This window comes from Homo sapiens, chromosome 10 (genome assembly GCF_000001405.40).
Source record: "Homo sapiens chromosome 10, GRCh38.p14 Primary Assembly".
Lineage (NCBI taxonomy): Eukaryota > Metazoa > Chordata > Mammalia > Primates > Hominidae > Homo > Homo sapiens.
Genome location: NC_000010.11, coordinates 72164784 through 72181334, shown reverse-complemented (window position 1 = coordinate 72181334; position 16551 = coordinate 72164784). Strand labels below are relative to the sequence as shown.

At 39.9% G+C, this 16551-nt stretch overlaps 1 protein-coding gene and 1 non-coding gene across 39 annotated transcripts in view; one reads left to right on the top strand and one right to left on the bottom strand.

Annotated features, from left to right (window-relative positions):
- Positions 1–16551, top strand: part of ASCC1 (activating signal cointegrator 1 complex subunit 1) — a 121103-nt gene that overhangs the window by 35800 nt on the left and 68752 nt on the right. The window lies entirely within an intron of this gene.
- LOC124902572 (small nucleolar RNA SNORA36 family) lies at positions 346–477 on the bottom strand. The gene has a single exon (XR_007062402.1). It is a non-coding gene; the product is annotated as a small nucleolar RNA SNORA36 family (small nucleolar RNA).

The following is a 16551-nucleotide window of genomic DNA, read 5'->3' as shown; positions in this document are numbered from 1 at the left end:
CTCTTCTAGGCATCTTTAACTGTTGATATATTAGACTCAAGCAGGCATTTTTGTAAGATGAGAGGCAAATAGGCCGGGCGCGGTGGCTCACACCTGTAATCCCAGCACTTTGGGAGGCTGAGGCAGGTGGATCACAAGGTCAAGAGATCGAGACCATCCTGGCCAACGTGGTAAAACCCTGTCTCCACTAAAAATACAAAAATTAGCTGGGCGTGGTGGTGCGTGCCTGTAGTCCCAGCTACTCGGGAAGCTGAGGCAGGAGAATTGCTTGAACCAGGGAGGTGGAGGTTGCAGTGAGCCAAGATCGTGCCACCGCACTCTAGCCTGGTGACAGAGTGAGACTCTGTCTCCAAAAAAAAAGGCAAATGAATAGAATAATGCTTTTGAACCAATCATCTCCCGTAGCCCATTTCAATGTCCCAAAGTTTCGTTAACAGAACAGGGAAGCTGCCTTGAACTGAACTCAATTCTTTGGAATCAGCTTCTATTTTAGATTCAGGAGGTACATGTATAGGCTTGTTACATGGGTATATTTTATAATGCTGAGGTTTGGGTATGACTGATCCCCTCACCCAGGCTGCTTCAGGTTGTATAGTTTCTATAGATGTGTCTTCAAGTTCACTGATTTTTTTTTTTGAAGTGTCTAATCTTTTGTTAATCCCATTTGATGGAATTATCAATTTTGATTTTTGATTTTTATATATTTTTTGAGACAGAGTCTCATTCTGTTGCTCAGGCTGGAATGCAGTGGTGCGATCTTGGCTCACTGCAACCTCCGCCTCCTGAGTTCAAGTGATTCTTGTGCCTCAGCCACCTGAGTAGCTGGGATTACAGGCACACACCACCACACTTGGCTAATTTTTGTATTTTTAGTAGAGACAAGGTTTCACCATATTTGTAAGACTGGTCCTGAACTCCTGGCCTCAAGTGATCTGCCTGCCTAGGCCTACCAAAGTGCTGGGATTACAGGTGTGATCCACCGTGCCTGGGTAGCTCTTTTATTTTTTTATCTCTTGAAGTTCCATTTGGTTCTTTTTTTTTTCTTTTTTTCTTTTTAAGACGGGGTCTCGCTCTGTTGCCCAGGCTGGAGTGCAGTGGCACAACCTTGGCTTACTGCAACCTCTGCTCCCTGGGTTCAAGCAGTTCTTATGCCTCAGCCTCCTGGTTAGCTGGAATTATAGGCATGTGCCAACATGCCTGGCTAATTTTTGTATATTTTTAGTAGAGATGGGGTTTCACCATGTTGGCCAGGCTGGTTTCAAACTCCTGACCTCAAGTGATCCACCTGCCTTGGCCTCCTAAAATGCCGAGATTACAGGTGTGAGCCACCGTACCCGGCCGGTTCTTTTAAAGTATTTTTCTTTTCTGTCATTAGTATTTTTATGTTTTTTTAAAAATAGTTGAGTTTCACCACTGGAACATTTGGATTGTTTCCACTTATGGGATATTATGAATAAAGCTGCTGTTCATGCATTTTTTTTCTGCTAGTAATCTATAATATTGTAAATTAGCCTGAGTGTCCCACTGTTTTTATTCACTCAATTGATAATTGAGTGATGTATAAAATAGCAAATATGTATTGAGCTTTGTATTTTGCTAGACAGTGTTCTAAATGTCTCCTATGTTCATTTTGTTTAATCTTCAGTCCCTCCCTATGAGGTAGGTATTTATATCTCATTTCACTGATGAAGGAATGGAAGCTTAGAGAGAGTAACTTGCCTAAGGTGCCACAGCTAGTGGATGCCACAGTGTTAAGTAGAGCAGTGATACGAAGTTGCGTAGGATCTAGCATCTGCTCTAATCCAATAGAACAAATAGTTGACAGTCCTAGGGGTCACTGAGGAAAAGTTATTTGAATGGGAAAAAAATATCCTGTTAAACAATTGAAGACATTTTGATGGTTGCTTGCTAATCAACTGACCAACTGCTAACCAACTATACCAATCTTTCAGCAGGCATTTTCAAGTGAGAACAGCCTTGACTGGAATTCGGTAATAATTTGGACAGTATTTGAGGGTTTAAAAAAGAGCAGCAGGCCGGGCGCAGTGGCTCACACCTGTAATCCCATCACTTTGGGAGGCCAAGGCAGGTGAATCAGTTGAACCCAAGAGTTTGAGATCAGCCTGGGCAACCAAAACTTGTGTCTACAAAACATACAAAAATTAGCCAGCCTGGACAACAAGGCAAGATCCTGTCTCAGGAAACAACAACAACAACAACAAAAACAAGCAGCAGAGCTTTCCACTTTTGCTTGGGTTATTATTCAAATCATATACTCTTCCCGAATTGTTGAAAAGAAGTGTCATATGGATCAGATATTATCTAAGGACACGTTCATTAAGATGTCTGCCTTCAGTCCTGGTTCAGGACTTAAGAAGGTGAGACTCTTCATCTTCTGAAAAAAAAAATTGATATTATTAATGTTTATTTCTTTTTTTGAGAAGGTAAATTTATTTTTCTTTATAGCTTATGTCAAATACGTCAAGTGCTTTTGGGATCTCTGATATGAAAGATTCTGTTGAAATATCAGGTTATAGTTTACCCTACCTTATGAGTTTTCTATTGCTGTGTAAAAAATTACCACAATCGTAGCAGCCTAAAACCACACCCATGTATCATCTCACAGTTCTCTGGTAGTTTCATAGTACTGCAGGTCGGAAGACCCAGTGGGCTGGACTGGGTTGTCTGCTTAGGGTCTCACAAGGCCAAAATCAAGATGTTGACCAGACTGGTATCTCATCTGGAGGCTCTTGGGAAGAATCAACTTCCATGTGCATTCAGGTTGTTGGCAGAATTCAGATCCTTGTGTCTATATGTCTGAAAGTGCCGTTTCCTTGACACGTGACTGCTCTGGCTTCACCAAATCCTTCTTGTGTCAGATCTGACTTCTGCCACCAGCCAAAGACTCTGCTTTTTAAACAGCTCATGGGTATAGATTAGTCTCATTGGGATAATCTCTCTCTCTTAAAGTCCGCTGTACCATAGAACATAATATAATTTGTAGGATTCATACATTATCACAGCCACAGGGTCCACCTACAACCTGGATTATACCAGGGTAAAAGGTCATTAGGGGTCAGTCTGAGAATTCTATCACAGCTATTAATTTTCATTGTTAAACGTTGTTGTGAAGGTCACATTTTTGGTACAACAGGCAACTTTTCTATGCTCAGGTCTCATTCTATCCTTCTGATCATCCTTCCTTGAACATAATTCTTTCTTCCTTTAAAACAGTCAGCCTCTTTTTCCTCTTTGTTTGGTAGCAGACTTGTCCTTGACCTCACCCTTGGCTCTTCATGTTAACTGAATTTACCTTTTAGGATAGCATTCCCTGAAGTCACCTTTCTTTGTGTTCATCTGTTATATAAGAAATATTGTTTGACTGCAGACATTATCACTATCATCCCTGTGCTTCAGTTCCCTAATCTTGAGTATTTAATGTAGGATTTAGCTGCTCACAGACATTAGCAAGGTATTCTTCATCTGTGTGATCTGCAGATAAGCTGCACCTTATTTTTTCATTCTTTCGTCTCTTGCATTAAGATTCAAAGATGTCTCATTGCCTGCAAGTTCAAGAAGTATATTACAACCTTGTATATCTCTCAATCATTTTTTAGCTAGTAATGCTGCTATAATTCCACTTTATCTCACAGCAGGGTCCAGTAGAAAGCACATCAGTAATGAAAAACGGTAATTCAAAACCATGTGCAGTGGAACATTTGAAGGCTTATAGATCCATCTGAAGCAACAGGGGATTTCTCAGGCTGCCTAGAGAACCTGAATCAGTTATAGCTGCAGAAACTACATAATTCTGCTCATATTGTAACATGGAGGCTTACACTGGGCAGAATGGGTAATGGGTCTGCATCCCCCTAACTCCCTCAGGCAGGATTTTTTTTCCAGTTAGTATTAGTCACTGAAGAAGAAAATGTTTATATAAAAGCTTTAGTGTATAATTTAGGATTTTTCATGTTTAAGGGTAGTTGTAGGATTTGTAGTTATCTTTTGAACTGATTTAGAATGAAGATGGGATAGTTGTCTTTGGTTGTAAGGAAAATTGTAAAAAGCCCCAAGTTCTGATTGTAAAACCTACCAAGTTGGGTAGGAAAGTAAGAAAAGGAAATATTTACAAGATTCATATATTGTCCCATTTCGGTGGAGATACTAGTTTTGAACAGGTTTTTGTGTCTTATTGATTCATGCACTAGTTATTAAATGTCTACTTTATACCAGGTATATATAACATATAGGACATATTATGTGCCAACAATGGACTCTACTCTTAAGGATCCCATACTCTAGGGTGTGGGAAATAGACTTCTTCCAGAAATAGGTACCGTGTTGTGAGATAAGTGCTACTAGATAAGTGCAGTGTGTACCCAGAGGAGAAATTCTGTAGTGGTTGCAGAAGGCTTGATAAGGGAGCTGACAATTGAACAGTCTGGAAGGGACAGGAGTTTGTGCCAGGCTGGCAAATGGGGGCAGGGAGCATTCTGCGCAGAGGAAATGTCACTTGTGAGGTATTCAGGGGAGAGTGAGGAATTTGTTAAGGCTGGTACTTAGAAAGAGGTAGAGTAAGGAAGAGGTAGGAGTTAAGAGTGGAAATGACATGGCACCCAAGTTGTGAAAGCTCTTGTGTGGGTTAAGGATTTTGAATGTAATATCCTATAGAGAGTAAGAAAATAGTTAAGGCTGGGCATGGTAGCTCACACCTGTAATCTTAACACTTTGGGAGGCTGAGGTGGGAGGATCCCTTGAGTCCAGGAGTTTGAAACCAGCCTGGGCAACATAGTGAAACTCTGTGTCCACAAAAAATAAAAAAAATTAGCCAGGCATGGTGGTGTGTACCTGAGGTCCCAGCTACTTGGGAGGCTGATGTGGGAGGAGGATTGCTTGAGTCCAGAGATAGAGGTTACAGTAGCCATGATTGTGCCACTGCACTCTAGCCTGGGTGACAGAGCGAGACCCTGTCTCCAAAAGAAAGAAAGAAACAAACTAGTTAAGATTTTAAGCAAGGACTGTGATGAACTTAGCACCACAGAAAAAAAATTGAAGGCAGTGTGGAGGATGTCTTGAGAGGTAAGGAGTTGGGCACCAAGGCAGGTACCAGTTGGGAGGCTATCGATACTGTCTATTGAAAGAAGAATAGGGTTTGTGGCATATTCAGGAGGGGATATATTCCAAAGATATTTCAGAGTTCTGCTCTGAAGTGGGGATAATAATGGTATTAATGTTACAGTGTTGATATGAAGAGTAAATGAGTTAATAAGTTTAAGGTGTTTGGAGCAGAGCATGGCACATAGTGCCGAATGAATGTTATTGTTGTTATAATTGTAATTATTGCTGTACCAAGTAAGACTTGTAGTAATCCCATGGGTTACAAAATGGAGGGGAAGGAAGGAGTGGCATTAAGAAGCAGCAACAGATCTCTCTTGCGCTGTTAACCCATCAGAAACGTGAGAGGAACCAGGGTCTGTCTTTGGGAATAAATGTAAGTTGAGTAGATGCCTTGCTAACTAGTGCTTTCAAGTAACTATGGAGGAATAGTGAAGTTTTTAGAAGAGTAGGCTGAAGGATTCTTTGTGCTCATCTAAGGTAAGTGGGGTGGTGCATCCTTTAGTGAGGGGAGATGCTCTTCACTCCTCTTTAATGGGTAAAGATCTTTAGACAATGCATGAGAAGTTCTTTTCTCTGGTCAGTATAAAAGCCCATGCTTGAATGTTTGTCCACGTTTTAAGAACCTCTCCACTTTCTTGTAATTATGTATGAATAAATAGAATTTATAAGCCAGGAGAAACAAAACCCTTTTTTCTAAAGCTTATACAGCTTAACACAGTATTTCGTTAATAACACATAGTGACTTGCAAATCAAAGTCAGCTTTTCTGAACATTCTTAAAGAATAATGGAAATGACTCAGCAGAGCCTAATTTAGCTTCCAGTGCTGCTTTAAAAGGGAGAGCAAAGATGGCATTTGTCTAGTGCTGCACAGTCATGTAAAAAGGAAGAGGGGGAAGCTTGTATTTATTCCATACTACTGTGTGCCAGAGACTTCATATGTGTTTCATCTGCAGAGCAAACCTGAGACAGAAGTATTGTCTGTTTTATAGATGATGAAATTAAGCTTCATAGCAACTGAGTAACTCACCTAGGGTCATGCTGCTGATAGGTGGCAGAATTTGAACATAGGCCTGTCTGGTTGCACAGCCAAATGCTCTTTTCATCACTTTGCCTTATTTGAATAACTTCTTTAGATGAATGAACTTCATATCACCTGCCCAGAAACAGTTCTACAAGATTTGGCCATAAAAAAAGAAAGAAAATACAACGAGTATAGGGGAAGCATGCATATTTTCTCTTTTTCTTTGCATAGAATATCAGAAAGTGAATTGGTAGATCCCTCACACATAATCTATTTTGTTAGCAGATAATTATTTAGGTTTTGTGGGAACATGTAAAAAGTTTGTAGGTCCTTTGACTTACAGGTAAACCAGGCCACCTCCCTTATTTTACAGAGGAGGAAGCCGAGGCTAGAGAAGTGACATGACTTGCCTAATTACAGCTGGTTTGTGACAAAGTTAGAATTAGAACCCTAGGCTCTCTACTCCAGGTTAAAGGCACAAACGTTTGTTATACCTGGAGTTCCTAAAAGATGATATATGTGAATATGATTTGAGAATTATTTTTTGTCTCTGGCAATTGGCATGTACCACCAAGGCAGAGAGCTATAAATTATTTACATTCTGGGTGCTACACATTTGGATCAGATTCTTCACTAGCATGTAGTGGAGTGTGAGCTTACAGGTCTATGTCTGGAGAGAGGCCTCCCTTCTACTTGCTGACAGCTCTGGCAGTTGCACCTGTGTTGTATCCCATCTCATGGAAAGGATGGTTGAGCTTTAAGGAAGCAGAGAATGCTTCATGATGGACCAATCCATACTGCTGTCTACTGCCCTTTTCCCCAAGCTTGATATGTGTAGATTTTATTATGTCTTGTTAATTGTTCCTACTGATAGTATTATTAGCAGTTCTGCCCCACTCGAGCCCAGGGTGCTGGATTAAAAGTGATGCCAGTGAAGGGCCTGTGATGATGTGGTGACTGCTAGTGGTAAATCATGAGCTGCAGTTTGAATGAGAGGGCTAAGCTCCATGCACTCAGGACTGATGAGTCAGGACATGACCTTGAACTCGGTGAACTGTGACTTAGGCATGTACATAAGTTTTCTTTAGAGGAAGCTTTCGCATGCATGGATGAGGCCTTATTTAACAAGAAAGAAACTGAGGCTTAGTGATGTTGTGACTTAGTCATAAAGAAACATGTTTATTTTCATAAACAAAACTGCCCCAGGAAATTCCTGTTACTTCACTCTTTGCTTCTCCCTGCTGGGTGGAAGGTCAATACCATTAGAACTTTCAGGCGCCAGCCTGGGTGGCCAACCTAATGGAGTAAGATAGTTCCAGCTCCAAGTAATGGCAAGCTTGGAGCAGGGCCCAGTGTAATTAAACCCCTGCAGTAAAGAATTTGATGTTCGTTGGTCTTCATTCATCTCAGTGAATGGGCTTGGGGCAGGAATATGATGATATATTCCGAGCAAAGAAAAACAGTGGCTCTAGAGATTTATGCCGTTGCCTTGAAGGTTGTTTGGTTCCAAATTAAATTTAGATAATTCAGTAAGAGAAAAGTTTCTCTTGGTAGATGGCATTGTGAGGTAGGGCAGAATTTAGAGCGTTTCTCCATTCATTAAAAGACTGTCCAGTGGAGTTACTTGTAAATTATATAGTCTACAGTAGAGTTAAGGATTATTTGAACCCTTATGACTCATAATTCCAAAAAGGACTTTCGATCGTGTGACCCTTAGGTGTCCTGTCTGTACCTTGTCTTGCTCCATTGCCTTCTGTGTGTTTTGTTTCCCAGTACTTGGTGTTTTGGTGTTTTCTTGGCAAGTAAACTCAAGTTGACTAGAGTGCTAGGCTCCCAAAGGGTAAGGCAGGGAAAGCAAAGTTGTAGAACTTCCTTTTTCTAGCTGGGTATTAGAGCAAATTTATGCAAGAGAAAGTTGAAGAATAAAGAGAAAGAAAAAGGAAGAAAGAGCAATGGAATATCAAAGTGACTGAGATAGTAAGCTGGGAATTTTAAACCATTAGGCCATTTTCCCCTTATGTTTCCTAGTCATTTCCAGGTCTAGAAAGGTACTTGTGTGCACTTTCAGGCCTTTAGAATTGAGTCTGGCTCTACTAGTTAAGTCTTGATTTGGCATGCTAGTGACAGGGCATTTCTTTCCCTCATTTTTCTCTCTCTAGTCACTATATTTTATATATAAAAAAATATAAGAAATATATATATAATATAAAAATATTGTATATAACATATATAAAAATATAAAATATAATATATAATATAAAATATATAATATATAATATAAAAATATAATATATAATATATATAATATAAAAATATAATATATAATATATATAATATAAAAATATTATATATAATATAAAAATATAAAATATATATTATATATAATATAAAAATATAATATATAATATATAATATAAAAAATATAATATATAATATAAAAATATATAATATATGTAATATATATAATATAAAAATATTATATATAATATATATATTATATATTTTTAGAGGAACTAGTGTAATTTTACCTTTAAAACATCTCAACATTGGGCTGGGTGCAGTGGCTCATGCCTGTAATCCCAGCGCTTTGGGAGACTGAGGCCAGCGGATCACTTGAGGCCAGGAGTTCAAGACCAGCCTTGTCAACATAGCGCAACCCCATTTCTACAAAAGAAAAAGAAAAAAAGAAAAAAAAGCCCAACATCTATAAAAGCTTAAAAACAAACTGTTTCCTCTTTTATTTGTGCTTAGAGTTTTTCTTTTTTTTTTTTTTTTTTTTTGAGACTGAGTTTTGCTCTTTTGCCCAGACAGCAGTGCAGTGGTGCAATCTTGGCTCACTGCAACCTCTGCCTTCCGGGTTCAAGCGATTTTCCTGCTTCAGCCCTCGAAGTAGCTGGGATTACAGTTGTGCACCACTAGGCCTGGCTAATTTTTTGTATTTTTAGTAGAGACGGGGTTTCACCATGTTGCCCAGGCTGGTCTCGATCTCCTGACCTCGTGATCCGCCCGCCTCGGCCTCCCAAAGTGCTGGGATTACAGGCGTGAGCCACTGCACCCAGCCTTGTGCTTAGAGTTTTTCTAAAAAAACTTCAAAATTGTTAAATGTAACACACATCAGAAGACGATACAGAACAAATGGATGCTTTTATAACCACCGTGTAGGCTGGAGATACAATCTTATCAGCACCCTAGACTTCCTTGTCTTGCCTTTGTCTTCTTCCCCTGAAGGGTAACCACTGTCCCAACTTTTACAGTAATCACATCCTTAGTTTTCTTTAGTTTTATCACCCAAGTGTATTTCCCCAAAGATGCCTTAAAAAACATTTTGGGAAGGGGGCATGTGACAGGCAGAACAATGGCCCTCCAAAGATATTCACATCATAATCCCAAAACCGGTGACTATTACCTTTTATGGCAAAAGAGACTTTGAGATGTGATAAAGTTAAGGATGTTGAGATGGGTCTTTATAAGGGAGTTGGGCTGGGCGCGGTGGCTCACGCATGTAATCCCAGCACTTTGGGAGGCCGAGGTGGGCAGATCACTTGAGGTCAGGAGTTCGAGATCAGCCTGGCCAACATGGTGAAACCCCATGTCTACAAAATTAGCTGGACATGGTGGCGGGTGCCTGTAATCCCAGCTACTCAGGAGGCTGAGGTAGGAGAATTGCTTGAAGCCAGGAGGCGGAGGTTGCAGTGAGCTGGTATCTTGCCATTGTACTCCAGCCTGGGCGACAGAGCAAGACTCCGTCTGAGAAAAAAAAAAAGAGGAAATCAGGAAGGTCAGAGTCAGAGAAGGAGAGGTGACGATTAAAGTGGAGATTGAAGTGATGTGACTCTGAGCCAAGACATTCAGGTAGCCTCTAGAAGCTAGAAAGCTCAAGGAAGTGATTTGCCCTGGAGCCTCCGCAAGGAATGCAGCCCTGCTGACTCATGTTAGACTTCTGACCTCCAGAAGATGGTAGGATAAGTTCGTATTGTTGTAAGCCACAAAGTCTGTGGTAATTTGTTATAGCACCAATAGAGAATTTATACAGGAAGTAGTTTTAAACTCACAGAAAAGTTGAAGAAAAGAATAGTATCCTTTATTCAGATTCACCTATTGTTAATATTTCACTATTTGTTTTCGTATTCCATTTTTATCTTTCTCAACTGCTTTAGAGTGAGTTGCACATGTCATAGCCCTTTAACCCTAAATATTTCAAAATATTTTAATTAAAAATATTGGGGGGGGTGGGATCTTGCTATGTTGTCCAGGCTAGTTTTGAATTCCTGGTCTCAAGCTATCCCCTCAGCCTCCTGAGCAGCTGAGACTATAGGCGTGCACCACTGTGTCTGGCAAAATTTTTTTTTTGCATAATAATGTTATAGTTCTCAACCTCAATACGTTTAACATTGATAGTTTTATCTAATTTACCATCCACGTTCAAATTTTGTCACTTAATCCAGTAATATCCTTTGTAGCATTTTTTCCCTCTCTAGTTTGGGATTCAGTCTAGGATTAGGTGTTGTATTTAATTGTCATGTTTCTAGCCTCCTTGAATCTGGAACATTTCCACAGGCTTTCTTTGTCTGCCTTTCTTTCTTTTTTTTTTTTTTTTTTTTGAGATACAGTCTCACTCTGCTGTCACCCAGGGTGTAGTGCGGTGCTGTGAGCACCACTGCACCTTGAACTCCTGGGCTCAAGTGATCCTCCTGAGTAGCCAGGATTCCAGGCACGGTGCCACGCCGGCTCTTTGTCTTTCTTGACATTGGCTTTTTAAATAGAATGCTTCTCACTTTTGATCTGTCTGGCATTTCCTCATGAGTAGACTTAGGCATTCCTGGATGGAGCATTGCATAGGTGATAATGTGTCCTTCTTAGAGTATACAGTGTCCCTCATTGGTGATGTTAATTTTGACACCATCCAGTCAGTGTTGATTAATTTCTTTATAGTTACTATATTTTTACCTTTCAACCGATAAGCAGTCTAGAAGAGGACATTTTAAGACTATGCAAATATTCTGCTCCTCAACAAAATTTCTCCTTAGATTTAACATCCTTTAATGATTCTTGCCTGATTTTTTTTTTTTTCTTTGAGACGGAGTTTCACTCTTGTCGCCCAGGCTTTAGTGCAATGGCACGATCTTGTCTCACTGCAACGTCTTCCTCCTGGGTTCAAGCAATTCTCCTGCCTCAGCTTCTTGAGTAGCTGGGATTACAGGCACGTGATACCATGCCCTGCTAATTTTTGTGTTTTTAGTAGAGACGGGGTTTCACCATGTTGGCCAGGCTGGTCTCGAACTCCTGATCTCAGGTGATCCGCCCATCTTGGCCTCCCAAAGTGCTGGGATTACAGGCGTGAGCCACCACGCCCGGCCTTGTGTTTGTTGATTCTTTCTTAACCCCCTCTAGTGTGGATTTGATATTCATTTAAAATACAGTTGGGTTTATTTTTAGTTTACTTTCAAATTAGGTTTCTTTCCCTTTTCCATACTTGTTTATTTTATGTTTGAATATGTAGACCATTAACGTGCTTCCAAAAGTCAAAACTATGTAAGAGGCATACATACCCAGAAGTGTCACACATTCTTGTATTCTTTCTGCCCCTTTCTCCTTCATCCCTTGTGGGTGACCAATATCATTGTTTTCTGGTTTATTTGTCCTGTGTTTTTTTTGTAAAAATAAGCATATATATATTAATGTATGTTTTCTTATTTTCCCTTCTTTCTTAAATGGTAGCAAGTATAGAAGCTCTTCTGCACTTGTCTTTTTTTTTGAGACAGGATCTTGCTCTGTCACTCAGGCTGGAGTGCAGTGGCACTATCACAGCTCACTGTAGCCCCGACCTCTGGGACTCAAGTGATCCTCCCACTTCAGCCTCCTGAGTAGCTGGAACTACCGGCATGCATGTGCCACCACACCCGGCTAATTTTTGTATTTCTTGTGTAGACGGGGTTTCACCTTGTTACCCGGGCTGGTCTCAAGTGATCTGCCCACCTTGACCTCCCAAAGTGCTGGGATTGCAGGTGTGAGGCAACCCGCCCTGTCCTGCACTTTGCATTTCTCATTTAATAATAGGTCCTGAAATATCACTCCAGATCATTGTATACATGTGTTTATACATAGTTTGCAACCATTCTATACTTGAGCATTTAAGTGTTCTGCAGTAATGCTGTAATGTCTAACCTCATGCATACATATTTTACGTTGTTGATGTATCTTCAGGATAAATTCCTAGAAGTAGGATTGTTGGGTATATTAATCTGCTCAGGCTGCTGTCATAGAATACCACAGACTGGGTGGCTTAAACAATAGAAATTTGTTTTCTCTTAGCTCTAGAACTTGGAAGACTAAGATCAAGGTGCTGGCAGGGTTGCTTTCTGCTATAGCCTCTTCCTGGCTTGCAGATGGCCACCTGCTTGCTGTGTCCTCATGCGACTGTTTCTCTTTGCCGGCCTTTTCTCTGTGCTTTCTCACTCATGGTGTTTCTTCTTCTGAATAAAGACACCAGTCCTGTTGGATTAGGACCCCACCCTTATGGCCTTGTTTAACTTTATCCCCAAAAGGCCCTGTCTCCAAATACATTTACATTGAGTGGAAGGGCTTCAGCATATGAATTTGGGGGGCACACAATTCAGTCTAGAGCATTGGGTCAGATGGTAAATACTTATTTATAGTGTCTTTTGTTTTGTTAGATATTGCCAAATTTCCCTCCACAGGGATTGTACCATTTTGCATTTCTGCTAGCAATGTATGAAAGTGCCTGTGTCCCTACAGCCTCTCCAACAGAGTGTATTGTGAAGCTTTTGATTTTTTGTCAGTTTGATGGGTGAGAAATGATATTCAGTGTAGTTTTAATTTGCATTTTTTAAATGAGCAAAATTATATGTCTTTCTACATGTTCGAGTCATTTTTATATCTTTATTCATGTGAAGTGTCTGTCTTTTGCCTATTGTTCAATAGCATTTTGAGTTTTTTCTTTGATTTTTAAAAGTATTTTATTTTATTTATTTATTTATTTATTTGAGATGGAGTCTCGCTCTGTCACCCAGACTGGAGTGCAATGGCACGATCTCGGCTCACTGCAACCTCCACCTCCCAGGTTCAAGCAATTCTGCTGCCTCAGCCTCCTGAGTAGCTGGAACTACAGGCGCGTGCCACCACGCCCGGCTAGTTTTTTTGTATTTTTAGTAGAGACGGGGTTTCACTGTGTTAGCCAGGATGGTCCCGATCTCCTGACCTCGTGATCCCCCTGCCTCGGCCTCCCAAAGTGCTGGGATTACAGGGGTAAGCCACCACCAGTGAGCTAGCCAGGTGTGGTAGCTTCAGGTGGGAGGCCTGCTTAAGGCCAGGAGTTTGAAACCAGCCTGGGCAACATAATGAGACCCCATTTCTACAAAAATTTAAAAAAAATTAGCTAGGTGTGGTGATGTGAGCTTGTAGTCCCAGCCACAGGGAGGCTGAGGAGAGAGGATCGCTTGAGGCCAGGAGTTTGAGGCTGCAGGATTCATGATCATGCCACTGCACCCCAGCTTGGGTGACAGAGGAGACCTTGTCTTAAAAAAAAAAAAAAAAAAGACATAGACACAACTTATTTAACAGCTTCATTAAGGTATAATTTACATACCATAAAATTAATTCATTTTAAGTGTACAATTTAGTGATTTTAAATAAATTTACAGAGTTGTGCAGTCATTACCACAATTCAGCTTTAGAACATTTCCATCACCCTAAAAAGATCCCTTGTGCCTGTTTGCCGCCCCACTCCTCACCACAGGCAACTGTTAACCTGCTTTCAGTCTCTTTAGATTTGTCCTTTCTGGACATTTCATGTAGATAGAATCATATAATACGTAGTCTTTTGCATCTGGCTTCTTTTATTTAGCATAATATTTTGAGGCTTATCTATGTTTTTGCATGTGTTAGTAGTTCATTACTTTTGATTTCCGAATAGTGTTGCATATATGGCTAGCCTACATTTTGTTTATTCATTCACCAGTTGGTGGACTTGTGGATTGTTCCTACTCTTTGGCTATTATAAATAATACTGCTGTGAGATTTCATGTACACATCTTGAGGTGGATCTTTGTTTTCATTTCGTTGGGTAGAATCCTAGGAGTGAAATGGCTGCATTGTATTTTTTTTGTATGAATTTTTGTAAATTTATGTTTAATTTTTTGAGTAACTGCCAAACTGTTTTCCAAAGTGGCCGTGCTGTTTTACAAATTTATATTTTACAAAGTGGCTGCTCGGTTTTTCCATATCCTCATCTACACTTGTTATTGTTTATCTTTTTGATTATAATAATTCTGATGGGTGTGAGGTGATATCTCATTTTGGTTTTGATTTGCGTTTCTTTAATGACTAATGATGTTGAGCCTCTTTTCATAAGTTTGTTAGCCATTAGTATATCCTCTTTGGGAAAATATCTGTTCAAATCTTTAGCTTATTTTAAAATTGGATTATGTATCTTTTTATTGTTGAACTTTAAGAATTTTTTATGTTTATATTTATCAGATGTAGGATTTGCAAATGTTTTTCTCCCAAATATTTTTCTCTGTGGCTTATCTTTTCATTTTCTTGATGATATCTGTTGAAGCACAAGTTTTAAATTTTGATTAAGTTCACTTTATCCATTTTTTTTTCTTTTATGGATTATGCTTTTGGTGTCATATCTAAAAAAAGGCAGATATTGTGGGTTTTGTTTTTTTTTTGTAGAGAAAAAAAACTCAATTATGTTGGTTTTTTTCTCTACAAAAAGAAACATGTTTGCCAGGCTGGTCTTGAACTGGTCTAAGTTGCCCAGGCTGGTCTTGAACTCCTGGCCTCAAGCGATCCTTCCGCTTTGGCTTCCCAAAGTGCTGAGATTTCAGGCATGAGCCACTGTGCCTGGCTAGAAAAGGCAGATGTTAAAACCACTTTCCTTTGATAGAATTATGAGATTCTTTTTATTCTCAGGCCTAATTTAGTGATTAGATCCATTTATTGAGTGAGCTGTGTTGAAATGCATAAGGACTTGCCTCTGGGTGGTGGTCCTATGGTCCTAGCCCACTTTGGGCAACTATTACTAGGAAGGCTATGTATATAATATTGATCAAAAGTATAGACTTTAGGGCTTGACTGCCTGGGTTTGAATTTTGACCTCATCTCTTCCTAGCAGTGTTACCTTGGGAAAGTGGCTTAATTTCTCAGTGCCTCAGTTTCCTCATCTGTAAAGTATGGATGATAATAGTGCTTCTGTCATAAGATATTTGTCTATACATTGCATAGAAAACGTTTGGAGCAGAGCAAGGGCCCAACAAATATTACCGTTATTGCTGGGGAGCAGTTCTCAATTGTAGTTTGGGATGGAGTTGTGCATATTAAAATAATTTGAGGGGCTTTGCATGCCTTTTCTAATGTGGCAGGCCATGGGTTAGAGAAGCTGGGGTGATAAGCCTTGCACTTAGCCTTCCTTGACACATTTAAAGCTGATTGTTCCTTACAATCACTTTCATTAAATTAGGCAATTTGGGTTGATGTGTGGAATCACAAAACTTTTCATCAGATGTAAAAATAGCTCAAGCTCCATTAACACTTAGAAAACGAAGAGTCAACTAACTACTGTTGCAAAGGCAAATATTAGGCAGTAAGCCTTAGGTAAACCAAGAACAGGATGTAAGCTATTCATACTTGATAAAATACCTTTCTCTGCCTTTGGAGCATTTTATCAGGCCAGAGACCTGATTATACAATAAGAACTTGCAGTTCAGTGATAGGATTCCTGTTTCATTCCTGTTGGAATAGAAGAGCTTCAACTTGGCCGGGCGCGGTGGCTCATGCCTGTAATCCCAGCACTTTGGGAGGCTGAGGCGGGTGGATCACCTGAGGTCAGGAGTTTGGGACCAGCCTGACCAACATGGAGAAACCCCGTCTCTACTAAAAACATAAAATTAGGCGGGCATGGTGGCGCATGCCTGTCAATCCCAGCTACTCAGGAAGGCTGAGGCAGGCAAATCACTTGAACCTGGGAAGCGGAGGTTGCAGTGAGCCAAGATTGCACCATCGTACTCCAGCCTGGGCAACAAGAGCGAAACTCCGTCTCAAAAAAAAAGAAAAAGAGTTTCAACTTTTTTTTTCTTGTTTTCATTTGCAGAATGAGATTAATGAAATTTGAGACCTACCTTCCTTTAAAAGGGACCCATGGACCGATATGGGTATACTATCAATAATTTATAAAGAATTCTTAAAACTCAACAATGAAAAGACAGTTTTGAAATGGGCAAAAGATTTTAGTAGACATTTCTCCAGAGAAGATGTACAAATATCCAAAAAGCACATGAAAAGATGTCATCATCATTGATCGTTAGTGAAATGCAAGTCAAAACCACAATGTAATACCACTTTATACCCACAAGGATCGCTATCATTTTTTTAAAAAGCAAGTGTCAGT